Here is a 22,083-nt window from a genome sequence, read left to right as displayed (position 1 = left end):
GCCGCTACCAAGTCTCCGCCGCATTCCTGCTCTCCCGGGTGAGTATGGCTCAGCGAGAGACCCGCAGGCCCACGAGCCCGGCCCTGGTTGCGCCCATGTCCCCCCGGAGTCCACGCACCTCCTCGCAAAGAGCCCGCGTCGTCGCCGTAGCCGTCGCCCTCGCCGGCCGTGTGCGCCCTCGCCTGGACACCGCGCCGCCGCCGCCGCCGCCTTTATAGGACACCGCCCTTTGTCTCGCGGGGCCCGGGGGCCCCTTCCCGACGGGGACTCCCACCGTTTCCTCCCCACTCTCCGCGCCCTGGCTTCCGGAGACCAACTCTCTCTTGTGCCCTGGAAAGGGAGCAAGGGAGGAAGGAGAGCCCCGCCTCGTGTGATACTTGGGGGCGGTAAGGGGGTCCTGCCACCCACCTGGGCTGGGGGAGCCGCTTACCAACCTCCTTCTCCAACACATTCAACCCTGGGAAAGTCCGTATCCGTTGTTAATTCATCAGATGTTTATGAAGCCCCAGTGAGCCTCCACCTGGAGTTCAGCAACAACTTGCTTCAGAATCACAGGTGGGGAAGGAGGATCCCAACACCCACAACCCAGACCCAGGAAACTAGGATTTTTCAGGATGGGGGGTGTGGTCTGAAATCTGCATTTTTAAAACCTAAGTATTTCAGGAGATTAAGATGCACAGCAGAATTTAACATTCACTGTACTGGGCAGGTTCCCGAATTTATCCATTTCAGTTTCCACAATGCCCAGCACTAATATTGGTTATTTCAGTGAGGGAAGGGACTCCTAATTGGTCTTCCTGCTTCTGGACTTGCCTCCTTCTGTCTGTTCTCCAACATCATCCAGAATGATGCTATGAAAACACAAGTCAGATTCTGGTCACTTCTCTGCTCAAAACCCCTCAGTGGCTCTCCATTTCACTGAGTTAAGCTGAAGCCTTTAAAATGGGCCCAGAGATACCTTCTATCCCCCTGAGCTGTCTGTCTCTTCTCTTCCTGGGGCTCACTCAGCTCTAGCCACTCTGGTCTCTTTGTTGTTTCAGGAACTCACCAGATACTCTCCTTCCTCAGAGCCTTTTCACTGACTGTTTCCTGGGCCTTAAACACTCTTCCCCCAAGTTATCCACGATTCCCTCCCTAACCTCCTTTCATTCGTTCAACACATTATTACTGAGAGCTTACAATGAGCCAGGCCCTGTTCTAGTTGCTGGGGACACAACTTCAAACAAAACAGATACAAGTCCTTGCCCTCAAGGAGCTGACATTCTTTAGGTCTTTACTCAAATGGCACCTTCTCAGTGAAGTCTGTGACCACAATATCTAAAATTGCACCATCTGTCTGGCGTGGTAGTGAGCCTGTAATCTCACCTACTCCAGAGGCTGAGGCAAGAGGATAGCTTGAGGCCAGGAGTCTGAGGCTGCAGTGCACTATGATCGCACCTGTGAATAGCCACAACACTCCAGCCTGGTCAACATAGTGAAACCTTGTCTCTTAAAAAAAAAAAAACTAAAATTGCTCACACACACACACACACACACACACACACACACACACACACAGAGTCTTCATCCTTCTGTTTGCTTTATTCTTCTTAACACTCATCCCCACTTGAGTATTATTTACTTATTTATCTTCTCTGCCTCTTCCCTACCCCATCTACTCCCAGTGAACAGGTGTTCATCAGATGTTGATTAATGAATGAATAAGTAATGAATTCCCAGGTACCACTCTCTCTGAAAGATCTGGTATAGGACCTGGCACAATAAATTCACAAACAAATTGCAGCTTAGTGGATAAGAGCAAAGGGCTCTGGAGTTACATTACCCAGGTGGAAATTCCTTGTCTATTCACTTATGTGATCCTAGGCAAATTATAGAATTTATGCTTGCCTTAGTCCCTATCTGTAAAATGGGGACAATGACAGAATTGTCAGGACTAAATGAGAAAAAAGTAGGTAAAGCATTTAGCAGTATGCCTAGCACATAGTCGGTATATTGTAAATTTTATTGTGGTCCATTGTATTATTGTTAATAACTATTGGCTCCCTTCCCTTGGAGAGGATTATATAGCCCCACTCACTGCCGTGTGATTGGCAGTGCCTCCCTGTAAGTGGAGGAACTATACTTCCCTGCCCCATTGCCAGGCTTGACCATACAACTTGCATCAGCCAATAGAATGCGAGCAGCCCTAACATTGATCATGATGGAGCAGAAGCTTTACAAGGGATTGCTGGACCGGCTGCAGTGGCTCATGCCTGTAATCCCAACACTTTGGGACGCCAAGGCGGGCAGATCACTTGAGTTCAGGAGTTCGAGACCAGCCTGGCCAACATAGTAAAACCCCATCTCTACTAAAAAAAAATTAAAAATTTGCCGGGCATGGTGGCACACGACTGTAATCCCAGCTACTCAGGAGGCTGAAGCAGGAGAATCGCTTGAACTTGGGAAGCAGGGGTTGCAGTGAGCCGAGATTGCAACACTGCACTCCAGCCTGGGGATAGAGCAAGACTCCAGTTGGGATTGCTGGATGGGCTCAGCCATGAGAAAGTTATGTTTGGGGTTGCTCGTGCAGCCTGGATGCCATGGAGCAAAACCACAACCAACCATATAACATGAGTAGAAATAAATCTTTATTGTTGTAAGTCACTGAGACTTTGGGGTTGTTTGTCACACCGCCACCCACCTTACCCACCTCCAAAACAAACAATACAGTTTTATTATAAATTTAAAAGGTGTTGCATAAATTGCTAGGTTATGGTGGTAGGAGGGGAGTGGGGTAGGATGGGGAGGTAGGCATGAAGGTGAGGAAAGCTCTGTATCTATTTTCAAGGCACTAACAGCTATTGGAAGGGAGAAGACATGACAACATGACTAATATAAGACAGACAGTCCTGAATGCGAGAGAGTGTGAAATTAGAGTTAGGGACAGAAAGGTAGAAGATTCTAGCTGGGGGATCAGAGGTTACCCATGGGACAGATGGCATTTAAACTAGGCCTTGAAGCAAGGGTGGCTCTGACATTTGTGGGGGCCATGATAAGGGTACAAATGGAGACTCCATCCCCGTCCCCATTCTTTTCCCACCCGCTAGCTCTGTCTTTTTCTGTGAAGGGCCTTGTGAAAATGATGCGAACTCCCAGCCCACATGGACCTAGGGAATAGCCCTATCCAGGCCCTGGAAAAGGGTTCATGGTCATTTGAACAGAAATTCAGGGGTCCCAGGTTCCCAGAATATGTTCTAGAAGGTGGGACATAGGAGTTGGGTGAGCACTGGAGGAGGGCCAGAGAGGGGCCATCTAAAAGCACAGTGTCCAGGGGAGGGGCTCTGACTGCTGGGTGCCTGGTGGAAGGGTGGTAAAGACTGGGTAGGAATTATAATACAAGTGCAAGGGTGGAGGAGAGGGCAGCCCAGACAAATACAACTGTGTGCTTTGAACATGGGAATAGTATGTTTAGTCACAGGTCGCAAGACTCATTCTGGTGGCAGTATAGAGGAGAGATTGGAGGGTGGATTGGGGAAAATTAGTTGGTAAAAAGGGATCTTTAGAAACATAACCTAAGGCCAGGTGCGGTGGCTCATGCTTGTAATCTCAGTACTTTGGGAGGCCGAGGTGGGTGGATCACCTGAGGTCAGGGGCTTGAGACCAACCTGGCCAACATGGTGAAACCCCATCTCTACTAAAAATACAAAAAGTAGCTAGGTGTGGTGGCGCACACCTGTAATTCCAGCTACTTGGGAGGTTGAGGCATGAGAATCGCTTCGCTTGAGGCAGAGGTTGCAGTGAGCCAAGATCATGCCACTGCACTCCAACCTGGGCAACAGAGACTCCATCTAGAAAAACAAACAACTACAAAAACTAATATTTGCAGTAAGCTTCTCTGATTTGCTCCTCTTTCTGCTCCTCTGTTTTCCCCATATGGCAATTATAATACAGCAAATGTTACATTTTGAAGCAATAACCTGTATTAATCTTCACCTCAGCCAAAAACTGTAAGGTGATATATTTTTTTGAATGGCATATTTTACAGCTGAGAAAAAGAATTGTGGTAACAGGGTAGCAAGATTGGAAATGGATGATGCTAAACGAAACAATAAGCTGTCAAATAGGATCTGTGTGCGAGTGGACAAGGACTCAGAGAAAGGACAAGGGCTACAGAGAAAGGAGCCCGATTGTGTTGACATCCTGGGACCAGGGTTGATGGTTTTTTCTTTTCAAAACATTCTTAAATGTTATTGTTGGTTTTATACTTTCAGAAGCAGGGGAAACAATCTTTGGCGCATCATTTCACTAGCAGTGATCCTTCAGAGTGATGGGTCTTCTCCCATGCCAGTCTCCCAATGTAGAGAATTTTGGGGCTAGGACCTGCAGGGGAAGGGGTTGAAGTAGGAATTTACATAAGCCGATTATTGGGGGATTAGATTTGGGCAGCTAAACGCCTCTGTGTGCTTGAGCTAAAACCCTTACTATTCATGGCTCTCACTGCCCCCTGGAGAGACTGCACCTGCGAGCTCCTGGGGAGGAAACAGAGGGCTGGGGAGGGAAGGGCAGGTCACTAGGAGAGCTTGGGCACTGTCAGGCTTTCTGGTTCTCCTGGTTTAATTGATCTGTCTGGATTAGCCTGTGAATACTGGCCTTCTAGTCCTGTATGCAGGGGTTGTCAGTTTCAGGAAAGACCAAACCTGGGATTTTTGTTTTTTATTTTATTCATAAAAGTAGAGACGGGATCTCGCCATCTTGCCCAAGCTGATCTTGAACTCTTGGGGTCAAACAATCCTCCGGACTTGGCTTCCCAAAGTGTTGGGATTACAGGAGTCAGCCACCGCCAGGGCCCAAACCTGGGACTTTTGGAAGGGATTTCTGCCAGGCCAAGTGGGTGTGGGCCAAGATTGTTTTGGCTGGAGGTCAAGCATCAGCCTTAGCCACTCTTAAAACTCTCTTCTTCCCTCCTCCATCCTTAGCCCCTTTACCAATCTCCAATTCTATGTATCGAGGCCCCTATTCATCCATCCATCTCTCCATTTATCCAGTCATTTATTCATCACTTTTTCCATCCACCATTAATTTATTAAACAGATGAGTTAGCTGGTTCTTGATATTTAATACAATTTACTAGTAAATCCTTCTAGGTAGGTTTTGTTCCTTCCCCTGTTCTCTCTCTCCTTAATGTTGGTACTTTGACATATAAATTTGGACCTTTTCAGATTCATTAGTAGAGTGTTATATACAGTTATTCAGTTACTTTTTAACATCTCTATTTTTTTAATCCCCTTTCTCATGCCTCATGTTATGTGTTTATGATTTCTCTCTCTCTCTTCTTGATCAGTGTTGCAAAAGTCTGTTCATTTTATTGCTCCTAAAAAACTAGCTCTGGGATTCGCTTATCATTTTTATGATTTTCAAATACACTTTCTACTATATCTTTATTAAATCTGTTCTTTTGTTTACGTTTATTTCCTCTCCACTCTATCACTCTTGGATTGAATGCTTATTTATTTTTACTCTTTCTTGTTTAGTAAGAAAAGCACTCCGGGCTGTGAACTTTCTTCTGATAGACCTTTGGGGATATCCTGTTTCCATTTGTAGTATCATTGTCATTGGTTTCTAATGTCTGTTGCTTATTTTTCTTTTATAAAGTGTTTTTAAATTTTCTTGTTGTTGTATTTTTTTGGCAACCATTTGCTATTAGTTTCTAATTTTATTGCAGTATAGTGAAATATATGCCCTGTATGTTTTTTGCTTTGGGATATTTATTGAGAATTTTCTCTTTGATAAAACATATATTCAACTTTTATAAATGTTTCACAGGTACTAGAAAAGGAGGTATATTCTCTGTTTGAATGGTAAAATGTCTTTTTACACATCCATTAAATAAATCTGTATTCTTGGAAGTTTTTGTCTATTTGATCTATTCAAGAGAGCACTGTGTGAAAATCTCCCTTTACTATTTTGTTTCTGTTCTTTTTGTTTTTCCGGGAGTGTTTGCTTTAGATCTTTACATTTTTTGCTGCATTGCTTTTGAAGCATAAAGACTCAAGGAAGTTTTTTTATTGACTTAGAGGATTGTAGCCTATATCAATATAAAAATCTTGCTTTTTACCATGAATTTCATTTTATTATATTAATATTACAACCCCTGCTTTTAAATTTGCATTTTCCAAAGTAAACTGTGCCCATTCTTTATACTTAATTTGGGGTGCGTGGGAGTGACTCTTGGTCATAAGAAACTCTTTTTGATAAATTTCAATTATTTTAACTCTCTCTTTTTTTTCTTTAAAGGAGACCCCACCTTCATGTTGAATTCTGCAAAACAAATCTCATTCTAGTTTACTTGCTACATTATAAACTTCATGAGGACAAAGACTTAGTTTCCTTCATCACTAGACCCCAGGAATTGTGCTCACTGCCCATAAAAGCTGCTTGATCAGATATTTGTTGAATGAATGCAAGAAAGCTCTTATTTCTTCAGACAGCTGCCTCCAGCCTGCCCTGCCTTCTGTCAGCAGACACATAGCTTGCTTCTGTGAGGTAAATGTTTCCAAGGCCATAGAATGGTTTTTTTTTTTTTTTTTTTTTTTAAGATGGAGTCTCACTCTGTCACCCAGGCTGGAGTGCAGTGGTGCGATCTTGGCTCACTGCAAGCTCCACCTCCCAGGTTCACACCATTCTCCTGCCTCAGCCTCCCGAGTAGCTGGGACTACAGGCGCCCGCCACCACGCCCGGCTAATTTTTTGTATTTTTAGTAGAGATGGGTTTTCACCGTGTTAGTCAGGATGGTCTCGATCTCCTGACCTCGTGATCTGCCCGCCTCGGCCTCCCAAAGTGCTGGGATTACAGGCGTGAGCCACGGCGCCCAACCTGGTTGTTTTTTAAGAAGGAGAGAATATTCTGTCTGCTACATGGAGAGGGGCAAGAGAAGAGGTGGGGTGGGGGGACTAGTTAGGATGCCGTGAAAGCAATGCAGGCAAGAGGAGATGATGGCTTGACCTGAGGAGGGGTTGACATTAAGCATCAACTCTGGCCCAGGAACTTAATCCTCTGCCCCAATTATTCAACCTTAAGTGCCAAGTGTCATGCTAGGCATTTCACCAAGGTTTTCTTATTCAATATGAACAATTATAAATATTAATTATAAAGTTACATAACAAGTTATCCTAAACAAAAAATGTATTTCTCCCAAAGAAGTCAAATACTAAAACATATACTTAAAGAAACAAGCATATGGCTGACTCAGTTTTACTAGCGGTTTTTAGACAGGCATCTTTCCAGAGCCTGCAGAAGCTGCAGATTCTCATGGATGTTCATACTACTCCATTCACAGGGCCCACAGAGCAACTTAGTGAACAGCTCACATCCTCCCAGGCTCTTCCTGCCTCCCTCATTCCAACCTCCCTCAACTAAGAAAATTATCAAGCAAGTAGCAGCAGGTGAAAGCAGGTGACACAGGAAACCAGGGCACCTGGAAGGGAGAAACGCACTGATGTGGCCCACATCTCTGCCTGAGCAGTGGGCAATGCACCAGCAGGGCGAGACCTTTAGGAGAGATGCTAGACTCTGTGGACCAGAGTCTCTGATATACACTGGTTTTGTGGCCCTGGACAGGTAGTGGTATCCTGCTAAGCCTGTTTCCAATAACGTGGGAATAATAAATACTCATTGATTGGCCATGGACTGAGATAAGATATTGAAAAATGCCAAATAGCAGGCAGTTTAGTGTGGCAGCTAAGAGAAGACCTTTGACTTGGCTTTGGAGGCAGACTGGCTGGTGTTTGCATCCTTGCTTTGATGCTATTATAGTTGTCATCCTGAGCAAGTTACTTAACTTATCCCAGACTCAGTTTTCTCAGCTATAACTCAGAAATATCATCTCATGGGTTATTGTGAAGATTCAGTGAGCTAATGTATAAAAAGTTAGTGCTTTGGAATAAATACTAAAAAATGGTGCTAAGTCATCTAATGAAACCAAAGTTACTCAATACAGAGATTTCATTTTATTTTTACTACCAAAAAACTCTGTCTAAAAGCTAGATGGTGAACCTAAACACATGACTCTAATTTCTGCCAAAGGGCACTTTCAGTTTTTTCCTTTCATCTGCCCAATCCAGCATTCTGGCTCCCACCTCTCTCCTTCAAGTTACTTACTTTCTGTGCTGCTAAGAAGCTTTTATTTTTTTCTAATATTTGAAACAGAGCCCAGGACTGGATGAGGGAGAAGCCAGAGGGGAAAGAAAAACTTCTCTTGCGCATCAGGCCTTTCTCTTACATGTAACTTCCACTCTCCAGCACCCCAGACCCAGGACCCCTTGGTAACGCCCACACACCCACATTTTATCTCCAAGACACCTGGCGTTAAAGCCGTGAGGGTATTTCTGTCCAGAGCAAATGTTGACTGTTGCAGCATAAAGCGGTGCACACAACTACTTCAAGTGAGCTTCCCATAGTTACCAGTTAGAGGGACATACAGCCCTGGGTGTGCCCAGCTGTCGACCTCTCAAGACCAGGCTGGCTTGGCCTTGACTCCGTAGGCCTGGAGCTGCGAGTGCTTCTGTTTTCAGCCAATAAACCCAAACGCAGTGGGGAAAGCGAGGGGAGGTGTTGGGGTGGGCAGGACCAGGTACTGGAGAAAAGAAAGGGGTGGATGGAATTCCCCTTTCCTTCTTTATTCTCTGGTCTTTGTGTAAGGGACGTGACTCATCGATGGGTCTCCTAGATGAGGATTTAGATGCTCTGTGGGCAGCAGATAAGAGTGCAGCCTACTTGCAGAAAGTAAATTCATTGAATACTCCCCATAAAGTCAATACTGTCAGGCTTATCAGCTGTCCTCATTTCCCACTCTGCTCCCTGGGGACCAGACTTGAAATAAAAGGCCCCAGCTCCAGGCGCTTAGAGTGAAGGTGCAGGGCTGAGCTGGGGAGGGGCCTCTGCCCCCTAGGCTGCTTTTCAGGCAAGTGGGGGAAATCTGCCAGGTCAAGCTGCCCAGAGCCCTCAGCTACCCAGCCTGACAAATCCCAAACCAAATACACACACCCGGAGGATGAGGGAAGCATCCCCTTACTCCTCAAATCCAGCAGATGTTTCCAGGAGGCCCCACTGTGCTTAGGAAAATTAGAGGATGTCACCTCAAATGCAACCAATAAAAAAACACACAGAGGAAACCTTAATTTCCCACAACTGTTGTTACCTTTGCTTTTCATAACAGATACTTCTGCACTACCCAGGAGCACATGCATCTTTTTAGCTGGCGGGGATATGGTTTCTTTACACGCTGCCTGAACTAACTAGGTTACCAGCTGGGGTTTCAGATCTGTTTCTGAGACTTACACTGTAGCTGATGCAGACTGGTTTAATAAGATACAACCTGTGACTGGCTCCCCTCCCACTCATTGTCCCTGTGCTCTCTGCTGGGATTATAGGCTTGCCCAGGCCTCGTCAGCCAGCGGTCCCTGCCTGAGCTGTCTTATCCAGGCAGCAGAATCTGTCTGGGTGGAAACGAGGAAGAGTGAAGACAAAATGGCCTTGTTTTTATTATGGTCCAGAAAGCCACTGGAGTCCCAAGCCTTCTCGTAGAGGTAAATGTAGGGTAGAAGGTCAGTTGTTAGCACAAACTACTCTCCTAGTACAACTAGAGCAATTACTTTTTACGCCTTGGAGCCCATAGTCTCCAGAGGTGAACAGCCAATAGGGAGATGAGGACTAAGTTAAGACCCAGAATTTAAAATCCTCACTAAGCTTATCTCCCTTCCTGGCTTCTGTTCTCCCTAGCTTTCAGTTATGCCCTGTGGCATCATCATGTGAAAAGTCTATCCTGTCCTAGTTTCTAACTGAAGCGACAGGTATAGAAATGGCTCCAGCCTCTTTCCCACATCCCTCACATTGCCTGTATTGTGGTGCCCAGGTCTAGCACTGACCATTGGTCTCCATTCCTCTGCTGTCTTCCAAAAATTGCCTTCATGTCTTCTCCACAGCCTAGAATCTCACTGGCTCTCCTGGCCCAATTCATCAAAATGAGCTTTTGTCATGGCTCTCAAAGGCCTATTCTAATTCCCTGGAACCCTCTGGATAAGACCCTGCCTTGTCCTATCACACTCCCTTTCTGTGGCTTGCAATGCTGCTCTTGAGCTCCACTTCCCAGACCATCACCAAACTGTCCCCTGCTCACTTGGTCTCAAGCGCTTCCTGACTCTGGACTGCTTGTGCCCATGTCTAGCACTGACTGATAATTCCTAGGAGTGACCTTACTTAAACCACTAGGGTCCTATGCCCATCTGGCTAAGTTTCTATCCTCTGTCCCTGCAACTATCAGGGTTCTAGGGTCTCTAGGATCAGTCTCGGTGAATCTGAATTCTCCTAAATCCCTGCTCTATCCTTGAAGGGGTTTCCTGAATGTTTGTCGAACCTCACCCTTAGGACAGATCCGGTGAGTAGTAACCAGGCCAGAAGTGTTTATTGAAGGCATGATGCTCCTATTCAAAACTTTTCTCTCTCATATCCAAACTTCATAGCAGAATATTCAGTCCCCTCATTTCCTGCAGTCTGTTCCTTGCCCACTTTTCCAGTTGTATCTTTCACTATTTATCCATATGGCAGATGGTCTTATTCACTGTCCCATAAAGCCTATTCTGTGAATTTACTGACTCCTCTTACTCAGAAATGTTTTCTTTCTTCATTTATTCAAATTTTCTGTTCTACAAGTCCTAAGACTCAGCTGAACCTCATTACCCAGTCCCTGTCCTCCTTCCTGGAGCTTTTTCTAGACTCGGGTGCTCAGACAGCCATCTACAAAGTCTAGGACTTTTGTCTCTTTGCCTAAGCCTGGTCCTTGAGACTCAATTCCATTAAGTGTTATGTTTTAACCCCACATACTCTCTCCCCAAAGAACAGGCCTTGTACCTGTGCTCTTGAGGCCAGGGTCGCTTCTTAACACCAGTGCTCAGGATAGGGCCTCTACCCAGGAGGGATCTGAAATACCAATCTTACAGAAAAATTGTGACATGAGATTATCAGGAAAATACAAGCTGATAGGATTTATGCCAAAGGCAGATGTAAAACCATGTGAACATAATATTAACAATAGTTATCATTCACTGACCATCTACCATGTACTGTACATCTACCATGTACTGAGCAGTGTGCCAGACACTGCAGATTTCTTACAATTTCTTACAATTCTTTTAATAACCTTTAAAGGTAGGTATTAATTTAGCCCCATTAGTTGAAAAAAAATTCAGAACTCAGAAGTTGAATAGCTAGCCCAAGATCACCGAACTAGGCTGTGGAGGGCTCTGGATTCCAGTCGACAAATCCAAAACCCTTGCTGATCCCATAAAACCCTATAGATCTGCAATATGCTAGCTACTAGTTTTAAATTAATTAAAATTAGAGTAAATATTTAGTTATTCAGTTACACTTGCCACATTTCAAATATTCAGTAGTCATGTGGCTAGTGGCTACAGATACATCATTTGCAGCATCACACCATGCTCTAGATAATTCTCTGGTCTTCCACTAAGACATGGGGAAAAAGATGGCTCCTTCCACTAAGACATGGGGAAATAGATGGTAAGAGAAGACATCATCCTAAAAGGAGAGCTTTTCCCTTGTTTATGAGGTCACATGCCAGAAATTTGCTTTTTCTGCTAAGCAGGATCTGGCTGGATTAGACGGTTGCCCAGTTTGGGCTCCAAAGCAAACTCTTCCACTCTCCAACTATGAGACTGTCATCTTCTAAGTCATCTGAAAGACATTTGGTAGTATAGCATTTTCAGAACATTGGCCACTCAATTAACTTTCCTGCAAAATTCACTAGAAAACATCCTCCAAATTATTGAGATTAACGGAAGAAAAAATTTGAATTTAGAAGTTTTAGGTTGTAAAAGCCCTACTGATAAAGTTGCAGAGAACTATGAACAATAGTACTAGCTGCTAAAGGGCTTTACTGATAAATCTAATTAAAGAAAACTCGAAGAACACAAAGGAATAATAAAGAGAAAATAAATCATAAAAAGAGGGTTATTAAAATGACAAAGTAAATCAACAAAGAATTGGAGGAAAGGCAAAAACAAAAACCTAAAAACCTGTCTTCCAAAAATTCAGACAAGGTTATTCCTTTTTATTATGAAGAGTGTTACCTATTACGAATGTTTGTAAAATGTTTAAGGACACTCTTTAGTAAAATCACAGTAAAAACAACGGTGCACAGTACACATTAAAAAAGAAAATCATAAAAGAAACAACTAGCAGATTTGGTGTTATCATTATTTTTAATTTTAGCCATTCTAATAGGTATGCAATGATATCTCATGTGGTTGTAATTTGCATTTCCCTGGCTAATGATGTTGAACATCTTTTTCATGTGCTTCTTAGCCATCTGTATATCCTCTTCAATGAAATGTCTGTCTATGTCTTTGCCCATTTTCTAATTGAATTTTTCAAAAAACTGCTGAGTGTTCAGGTTCTTTATATATTCCAGGTACTAGTCCTTTGTCAAGATACACAGTTTGCAAATATTTTCCTCCTAGTCTGTAGCTGGACTTTTCAGCCCCTACATGTGGGCTTTTGCAGAGCAGCAATTTTTAATTTTGATGAAGTCCAATTTATCCATTTTTCTTTTATACATTGTGTTTTTTGTGTCAAGTCAAAGAAAGAATGCTTTGCATAACCCTAGATCATGAAGATTTTCTCCTATTTTTTTCCCAAAAGGGTTTACAGTTTTATATTTTACATTTAAGCATGTGATCCATTTTAAGTACATTTTTGTACAAAGTGTGAGGTTCATTCAAGTTGAGTTTGTTTTTGCCTATGAATGTCCAATTGCTCTAGCACCATTTGTTGAAAGGTCTATCTTGGCTGGGTGTGGAGGCTCATGCCTGCAATCTCAGCACTTTGGGAGGCCTAGGTGGAGGACAGCTTGGGGCCAGGAGTTTGAGAGCAGCCTAGGCAACATAATGAGACTCCGTGTCAACAACAAAATAAAATAAAATAATAGCGGGGTGTGGTGGCATACACCTGTAGTCCTGGCTACTTGGGAGGCTGAAGCGGGAGGACTGCTTGAGCCCATGGAGCTCGAGGTGATAGTGAACAATGATTGTGCCACAGCACTCCAGCCTGGGTGACACAGTGAGACCCTGTCTATAAAAGAAAAAATAAAAAAAAACAGACTGTCTTTCCTCCACTGAATTGCTTTTGCACTTTTGTAAAAAATCAGTTGGACATACTCATATGGGTCAATTTCTGGTTTATTTTGTTTCACTGATCTATGTGCGTATCCTTTTACCAATACCATACTGTCTTGACTACTGCATTAGATTGCTAGGGCTGCTATAACAAAGTACCACAGCTGAGTGGTTTCAACAATAGAAATCTATTTTCTCACAGTTCAGGAAACTAGAAGTCCAAGGCTAAGGTGTTGGCAGGGCTGGTTTCTTCTGAGGGATCCTCTCCTTGGCTTGTAGGTGACCATCTTCTCTCTATGTCTCTACATGGTCCTCCTTCTGTGCCTCTCCTTGTCCTAAGCTCTTCTAAGGACTCTAGTCACCAGTGAATTGGGAATCACCCATATGACCTCATTTTACCTTAATTAGCTGTTTAAAGGCTCTATCTCCAAACACAGTCACATTCTGAGATACTAGGGGTCAGGACTGAAACATATGAATTTTGAGGGATATAAGGGAACACAATTCAGCCCATAACAATTACTATAGCTATATAATAAACCTTAATATTGGGTAGAGTGATCCTTCTCACTTTCAGTATCAGAGGCTGGTTTTAAGTAATAATTAAAAAAAAATTTTTTTTTTCAGATCAACAGTTAAGTAGAATTGGCAGAGTGAGTAGCCACTGGATTTCAAGTCAGAAAACAAGGATTTAAGATCTGTGTTACCTCTAAATTGCAGCTTCCTCATCTGCAAAACAAGGGGAAATAACATCTACCTTATAAGATCAGATGTGGTATCTATTGAAGTGCAAGAATGAACTTAGGTCTTCTGATACCAAATCTTTCTGCTACTTTTTCCTTATAAAGATTACTTGAGATATTCTAGAGAAATAAACTTATCACATACATTTTAAAATAAGTTTGTCTATGTCTATTAAAAACCTTGCTGAGATTTTGATAGGAATTGCATTAAACCTATTGATCAAGTTGAGTAGAACTGACATCTTTACTGTGTTGTTTTCCAATCCATGAACATGGTATGCATCTCCATTTATTGAGGTCTTTGATTTCATCAGCATTTTTAACATACAAATCTTGTATATAATTTGTTAATTTTATACCTAAGTACTTCATTTTCTTCAGGGTGACTTTAAATAGTACTGTGTTTTTGTTCTCATGTTTGCTGTTAGAATATAGAAATGCAATTGATTTGGGGGTATTGGTCTTGATCTTGTATACTGTGACTGCACTAAAACTCACTTATTAGCTCCAGGTGTTTGCTTGTTTTAAAATACATTCCTTGGTATTATCTATGTAAACAATCATGTCATCTGCAAATGAAAAGTTTTTAAAAATTTCTTTGCAATCTGCATGTCTTTTATTTATTTATTTATTTATTTATTTTTTGCCTTACTTCAGTGACTAGCACTTCTAGTATTAGGCTGAATAAGAGTGATGAAAGCAGACATCCTTGCCTTGTTCCTAATCTTAGAGGAAAAACATTCAGTTTTTTGCTATTAAAACATACAGGTTTTTGTTTGTTGGTTTTAGATGTTCTTCATCAAGTTGAGGTAATTATCTTCTATTTTTAACTTACTGAGTTTTTCTCATGAATGAGGGTTAGATTTTGTCAGACTCTTTTTGTGTCTATTGATATGATTTTCTTTACTTTGTTGATACAGTGCATTACATTGACTGTTTTAAGGCTGAACTAGCCATGTACACCTGAAATGAATCCTACTGGTCATGGCACTGTTGGATTCAGACAAACTAGAACTTTTTACTCCATGTCCTGTGTTATTTCCACTCCACCACAGTTACTTTTAACAATTTTGACATCAGCTCAAAGCCTATAAAAGACCTTTCTAGTTCCTTCTCCCTGAAATATGTTATGATTCCCCATGGTGGCTGTTTCCTCTTACTACAACAAGCTAATAAACCTAACTTTGTTTGATTACAGGTGTGTTCCTGGTGGTCTTTGGCTGGCAGGTTTTATCTCTGAGAACTTTTGGATACCCAGGTATATGTGTGCAGACTACTAGGGTCCCCATAGTTGAATTTTAGAAATACTGTACTGGTGGCAAGATTACTATTTTATCAGATTGTCTGTGAATGTTAGTGTCTGTTATTTCTACTGCAAGTCTCAAAAATAAATACAAGATATCTCAAGAGATTAGAAAAATTTTATTCATCATCCCAAACTGGATTATATATTACAAATTCTGATGAAAATAATATTAAAGGTATTTTCAAGTAGTACCACAAACTATCTGTACCTGAAGATAAAACCACACAGTAAACTGGTAAGTACACATTGAATCAATTCATCTTTAAAATATCACTTTGTTTAGAAATTCATATATATGTTTTTGTAGTTATGAAGTGGGAGGGACACACAAATAGCTACATAAGATTTTCATTTAACAAACATATGAACTATTCCCCATGCTTTGAATGAATCATCAGAAGGCTGTAAAATCCTGTTATTTTTTTCAAAGGTGCATGAAACAATATTTCATTTCCAATAGCAAAAATACAGTACTTCTAATTTTCCTTATATTCTCTTTCAACCCTACTGTGAGAGCTGCTTATAATTATATAGGAGCTTGTTAATGGGTCCCTACAAAATCTCTGTATTAGGTTGGGTTAGAAGGTGCCAGGGGGTATTCTAGGGTAGAAGTTTTGATAGTACGGAAGCAGAGATTTCTTTCTTTCCTTTTTTTTTTTTTCTGAGACAGAGTCTTGCTCTATCGCCCAGGCTGAAGTGCAATGCCGCGATCTTGGCTCACTGCAGACTCTGCTTCCCGGGTTCAAGTGATTCTCCTGCCTCAGCCTCCTGTGTAGCTGGGACTATAGGCGTGCACCACCATGCCCAGCTAATTTTTTTGTATTTTTAGAAGAGACGGGGTTTCACTATGTTGGCCAGGCTGGTCTCGAACTCCTGGCCTCAAGTGATCCACCTGCCTTAGCTTCTCAAACTGCTGGTATTACAGGTGTGAGCCACTGCACCCAAAAGAAGCAGGGATTTCTTATTAGAAAATTTATACTTGCCTCCTTTAAGCACAGGACCTATACAAAAGGTATTGCCATTGAATTAGTCTGTTTCACTTATGAACTGTAATTAGGATTTCAGTCTGATGTGAAGCAGCTTAAAATGGCATCATGCACCCTGCTGATTCTTGCCTAGTTGAGATAGAAACAGAAATTTGAGGGCAGAAAGTAGAAATGAGTATTTTCAATTCTCCTTTATTAACAATGATACAGGCATTCATCAGCATAGATAATTAAATGAAATTAAGTATTCCAGATTTCTTCCCTCTCCAAATCATGGCTTATATCTAATTTCACTAACAAGGAGGTAAAGATTTACATCTAGGAAAGGCTAGAATATTGAAAAAGAAGTCCAGGGGAGAGCAGGTACCAAATCTAGTGAAGTACAGTAAACTGCTTGGGACCAGCAAACTAGGTAGCATATGGGATAATATTAGGAGACAACTGCTTAACCAAGAAAATGAAAATACAAGTTCTATTGAGAGAAGGAGGCAAACTGGTAATGTCTCTGAATTCACAAACCATATATTGTATTAATGTAATATAATTAATGTATAATTGTATTAATGACTTGATACAATTTTTTTTTTCTTAAGCAAATTCAGTCATGCAATCTTTTGAGTAAAGGAATATGTTCTGACCCATGGTTTCTATAATTCCATTTGAAGATTAGAAAAGAAACATGGAACTAGAAAATTGCACATTTCTTGAGTACTTACTTAATCCTAGGCCTGAGGCTAAGAACTGTATACTTCATTTAATCCCCCTAAAAACCCTTAGAAGTATGTATCATTTCCCCAGTTCACTAATGTGGAAATTGAGACTGAAAGGGCCCCCACCATAAATCCCACATGATTAAGCTGAAATTCAAATTCAGGCCTAACTCAAAAGCTTGTGGTCTTTTTATGGCAACACATTGCCTTCCCTGAGTGAGATGTTAGAGGTGATCTAGCCCAGGTCTTAATGATAGTGGAAGACAAGGAGGAAAGAGGGAACGTTGCTGGGATTTTTCTTGAGAAATTCTCTTGACTGGTCAGTAACTGAAGTTTTTCCATGCATTAAAGCTATTACAACTAATAATTACCTGTTAGAAGGTGGGAATGTGGCACTTTCTTGACTAGGTTTTGAGGGAATATTTCTCCTAAGGATTTATAACATTTAGGATTTAAAAAACTGTTCACTTTCCAGAAAGTGAAACTAGGGGGGAAACTTAGAAAAATATGTAGCCATAAGTTTGGGTGAGATTTTAGACTGAAGTGTGGAAGCTCATTCCAAATGTGTTTTCCAGATTTAGCTCTGGTACCCAATGTATAAATTCCTGCTTACCTATGTAATATCCTGCCTATCTATGTGCCATTTGAAGTACTGTAGTCGTGTAAGAATAAAAACAATGGTTTGAGGTCACAAACTCAAAAAGGAATGAGTACAATCTATTCTTAACTACCTGCATTTATCAGAGAGTATCAATATAAATAATTAAAAGTAGTTTAAATACTAAAAACTAGATACTCTAGTCTCCTTTCCAGCCAAGCAGATAAAAAAAAAATCTTGAAAACTGCAAAGTGACTCCAGTTACATCTATTATTCTTTTTTGTGAATGAGACCACTACTACCAGGGAAAGGTCCCTTAGGAAGGAAAGAGCCTCATAAAAGGTCACTTCAGGAAGGGGAGAGACTTCAAATACAGGCATTTAGCAGGTTGGTGCTGATGGTTCCCTTGGGAAATAGAATGGTAAAGTGGCAATGGGATGCATCTTGAGCTTAGAGAATTAGGTACCAAAGGCTGATGTCTCCAGATGTGAACTGTCTTATTGTCTGGAGAGAAGGCATTTTCCAGATAAAGGTATGAAGGTTGCCTAAGAATTCTGAATTCTGAACTAGAAAATACTTCCCCTTGACCTCTCTGTCGCCTTAGGTTCTCAATCTGAACAAAAAGATACTAAGCGGCAGAAACACCCTGAGACTTAGCCTCAATGAAGCACTGGATGCCTTCTCTGTTAAGCATCTCAAGCACTGTTAAAGATACTGTGTTGTGATGCGAAACAGACATTGGACTAGGAGTCACGGCAGTCTTGGGTTTTAGCCTCAGCTGTTCTTGTTCAGATCATTCTTTTCTGTGATTATTTATTTAGTTATAAAATAAGAGGGTTTAAAAAGAATATTACATTATGGTTTTTCTAGCTTTTAAGATTCAAAAGCAGAATGATTTTCACTTAAGTTTTAACTTGTTTTGTGGGGATACTGGCAAACATTCTGTCACCTAGTGGTCAATTTCAGGTTTTGCAGCTAGGGAATCAAAGAAATCAGCTGTCCCACCAAGCAGCTACTCTTAGGGATGCTCAATTTTAGGAACTATGGTTTTATTCCAGGGGCCAGATATCAGTAGCTGCAGCAGAGGAGAGAAGGACAAGTGCTCCCTGCTTAGAGAGGACTGGGTGACTACCTGGTTGTCCTGGTTATCAATTAAGAGGAATCTTGCCTCTCAGGATGTCTCTGGAGACATTCATGGGTGCCTAACTACCAACAAGTTGTCAACTTCCCCAGGTAAGCCAGGTAAACTAAACCTGAAAGTGGTCAGATTAGGAGAATGACTGCTAGAATACTCAAGTGATGAAAGAAAAGTGATCCAATGAGGTACTGAAGATGGATATACCTAACCCAAGGTCTCTGGACACTCCACAGAACCCAACTGTTAAAATACATAAGATGAAGTATGGATGAATCAGAATCAGAGGTAAGCCTGGCCTTCAGATTCTAGAGAAGGCTTTTGTTTCCCCAAGTTAGGGTGGAACCCATGAGCTGAAGCCTGTGAAACCAGAAGACAAGAAAAGTATTTCAGCAGCCAGTGGTCTATGTAGGGAAGAATATAGAACCTGTGTCAATTGGGCCAAGATGTCTTGGATTTCAGACACTCTTAAGACTTTGTACTTCAGGAAAGGATAAAAGATTAATCTGAAAAGGGATGGGTAAGATCTCCTGGCAAAGAATGGGAGTCCCAATTGGAAATGGGGAGAAATGTGGAGTGTATGCATTTCTAAATACTGAGCACAAGCAAATGGTCCTCATCAAGTAGGGTGGATTTTGCCCAAAAATAGTATTATTATTTGTTCTATTATTTTTAAGCATGAAAAATGAATTTAGGGTCAGCTATTTAGAATTTGGGAATGCACTCTATGGGCTGATTTTCTAGCAAAGAGAAAATGGATTATGATGATGTGCCATTTTGGGACAAGTTTGCTGACAATCTTAAATGTCTCCAGAAACCACTCATGTTATTTATGAAAGACCCAATAATTCTGCATTGAGAATGCAAATTAGGACAGAAGACTGTTGGTTATCATTTATCAAAGGTTTTCATGTTGCTTTACAAATCCGGAATGGGTGGTTGTAAGTTACTTTCTCTAATTTGTTTTCGAAAAAGTCTACCAGCCCATTCCCTCAGACATTCAGGTTTCCATTCTTGAGACTACTATTGTTCTCTGGTGTCAGAGGAAAATCTGCCAAGCTCCAGAAAGTAGTCCTAAATAGCATAGATAAGATATAAGATTCAGCTTCCTTTCCTAGACAAAGAGAAAAATAGCAGTGCTTATTGTGCCTACATTTTCCTTTACCTCTCACTTACAATATATCATTCAAGTGATATAAGAGAGAGATGGGGTAAACAGCATCCTAGCTGACTCAGACATCTTGAGGGGAAAAGGAAACTAAAGCATTCCAGAGTGTGTGGTACTTGGTAAAGTAGAAGTCTGAGTTCTTGCCCCATCGACATTCAACAGACTGAAAAACTGGGGAGGGACACAAACTTTACAAACTCTATGATCTGAGGTAGGGTGAATAGTTGTCAAGTCCACCATTTAGCTTCCATTTTGGAGATCTGATATATTAGAAGAGGAGAAGAAACAGGCAGGTTTACATGCCATTTAAATTGGTATATAGACCATAAATTAGAGATACGAAGCTGTAATTGATAAATGAAGATAATAAAGAGTATGTTTTAAAAATTAGAGTATATTTAAAAAATTCTATTAATATTTTAGTGTCATTAAAATTGGGAGTGCACAGATTATAAATTCAGAAAATATAAAATGTACATGAATTTCTCATATTTTTACCTAACAGACTGTCTGAGAATAAAATAAAAATGAGTTTTGTGAAATCATGGCCTCTTTCAAGATCATGTCTAGTAACATGGTCTCACTTGAATGATTTGTCAACAAGTGCCATCAGAGGTCAGTGAAAATATTCTCACAATGGATGGAAATTTAAGCATTAAACAAGCATAAAGTTTCTTCTCACTTCACATATGAAAACAGTACATGTACAGAAATTTACTTATCCTGACAAGTAATAAGCTCTGATACAAATAAGCTCTCACCTTCCCTAAAAGAATAATGCCTTGTTCTCTAATTCAATTCCACATAAGATTAGTTGAAAAATGAACCTGATATCATCTTTTCTTGATGTCACTCAAAGTCTGATCACTTGAATATTAACTCAGACTCCACAATCTTAAAAGTAGCACTAACATACCAGCTTAAATGCCCAGAAGAGGAGTGGGTTATTCTTTTCAACTAGTATATCCTTCCTTAGCTTTGCCTGGTGAGCTCATCTTCCAGTTCAAACATTACTTCACGTTTTAAAAACCTGTACAGAACTTGAACTCTTCAAAGGGTGGGGGAGGGTTCCCTCAAAGGAAAATTGAGTTGTTTACCAAAAGGAGGAATAAAAGAAGTAGGTATTTGTCTCATTCATCTAGGCTTCTCCACTGTAACCTAGCATTGTATGTGGCACATGAAAATTCCTCAGTACTAAGTGAGAGAATTACATCAGATGACTCTTTCTGTGTCTTCAAACTTGTCACATTTTTTCTTTGGTTCCCACTTATGTTTGACAAATAGACATGTATTTTTTAAACAGTTATCTACCTTTTTTTCCAAAAGAGAAATTCTCCCATTTCAACCTACTATCTCAATATAACTGGATAACCTCATCCCACTCAGAAATAGGCCAGATTCCATTGGGTTGCACATTGGGAGGAGAGCGCTTCCAGTCCCACGTCTTTACAGGAATCTTCCAGGTCTTACCATAGTTGGCTTCAATGTATTCGAGGGTTTCACAGGGTACATGGACCTTCATGTCTACAAACTCAGTCCAGCACAGTGTAAACTTCGGAAACAGGTATCTGCAGCAAAACAGAGGGATTAGGCTTCAACAGTGGAAGAAGGTCTAGCTAAGGAATCTAGCTGCTAGTGCATTATTGGCTGAAGGACAGTGCTCTCCCATTACACAGCTTTGGGAAGAGAGTGGATATTTAATTATTTTTGACTGTCCAGAATCCCTTTCCTCTTCTCCAATTTTCCTTTCCTGTTCCAAGCTCATAGGATTGAGGAGAGGCTGACCCCATCACTAAGACTCAGGCCAGTAAGTTAATGATTGAGGCAGGGATGGGAACATACCCAAGTCAGGCAAATCAAAGTCAGCCTTGGGCTTTCTGTTGGAACTGTAGAGGAAAGAAGTGTCAAAGTAGAAAGCTGTCAAAAGATGGATGAAAATGATCTTTTTCTTTTCTTTCACAATCTGGATTTTCCAAGGATACAGAGTAAGCAGGACTCCAAGTTGCATTTCCAGGCTTTTCCTTTGGTTCCATAGCTTACATGATCCTACCTGTGGTTTCTGCCTTTCATCTCAAATGCTAAAGAACATCTTTAAACCAGCCCAAGGAATACTAGTTATAATGATTGTAACTATATTTATTGCAGAACTAAGTCGATTAGTAGGTAAGTTTTAGAAATTAAACCAGGCCGGTCGTGGTGGCTCCCGCCTGTAATCCCAGCTCTTTGGGAGGCTGAGGCAGGTAGATCACTTGAGGCCAGAAGTTCGAGACC

General features: G+C 41.2%; 1 protein-coding gene across 38 annotated transcripts in view, besides 4 other annotated features; it reads right to left on the bottom strand.

Moving 5' to 3' along the window:
- Positions 38 to 117: an enhancer, noted in NCBI's record as "active region_28745". NCBI's record gives its function as "activates an Ori minimal core promoter by ATAC-STARR-seq in GM12878 lymphoblastoid cells {active_cell/tissue: GM12878}" and the evidence as "EXISTENCE:reporter gene assay evidence [ECO:0000049][PMID:35858748]".
- Positions 4,170 to 4,732: an enhancer, noted in NCBI's record as "OCT4-NANOG hESC enhancer chr9:108413980-108414542 (GRCh37/hg19 assembly coordinates)". NCBI's record gives its function as "activates a minimal SCP1, AML or CMV promoter by ChIP-STARR-seq in naive H9 embryonic stem cells {active_cell/tissue: H9 hESC(naive)}" and the evidence as "EXISTENCE:reporter gene assay evidence [ECO:0000049][PMID:30033119]".
- Positions 8,658 to 8,802: an enhancer, noted in NCBI's record as "145 bp enhancer 228 fragment used in the MPRA reporter construct; PK_construct_4071". NCBI's record gives its function as "activates an SV40 promoter by MPRA in K562 cells {active_cell/tissue: K562}" and the evidence as "EXISTENCE:reporter gene assay evidence [ECO:0000049][PMID:23512712]".
- Positions 8,722 to 8,739: a transcriptional cis regulatory region, noted in NCBI's record as "GATA motif; enhancer activity is reduced when this motif is scrambled". NCBI's record gives its function as "necessary for full MPRA enhancer 228 activity {active_cell/tissue: K562}" and the evidence as "EXISTENCE:site-directed mutagenesis evidence [ECO:0005528][PMID:23512712]".
- The window catches only part of FKTN (fukutin), an 82,989-nt gene continuing 76,218 nt past the window's right edge, over positions 15,313 to 22,083 (bottom strand). For 37 of the 38 annotated variants that reach the window (NR_147213.2, NR_147214.2, XM_047422979.1 and 34 more), the window contains one exon: positions 15,313 to 21,380. Coding sequence is in view for 36 of the 38 variants with exons in the window: in XM_047422979.1 (XP_047278935.1) it covers positions 21,167 to 21,380 (214 nt within the window). In the remaining 2 variants the exon portion in view is untranslated. The remainder of the gene's footprint in view (positions 21,381 to 22,083) is intronic. The other variant, NM_001198963.2, reaches the window with a different exon arrangement.

Source organism: Homo sapiens, chromosome 9 (assembly GCF_000001405.40).
Source record: "Homo sapiens chromosome 9, GRCh38.p14 Primary Assembly".
Lineage (NCBI taxonomy): Eukaryota > Metazoa > Chordata > Mammalia > Primates > Hominidae > Homo > Homo sapiens.
Note: the sequence above shows the minus strand (reverse complement) of the source record. Positions and strands in the feature narration are given on the sequence as shown.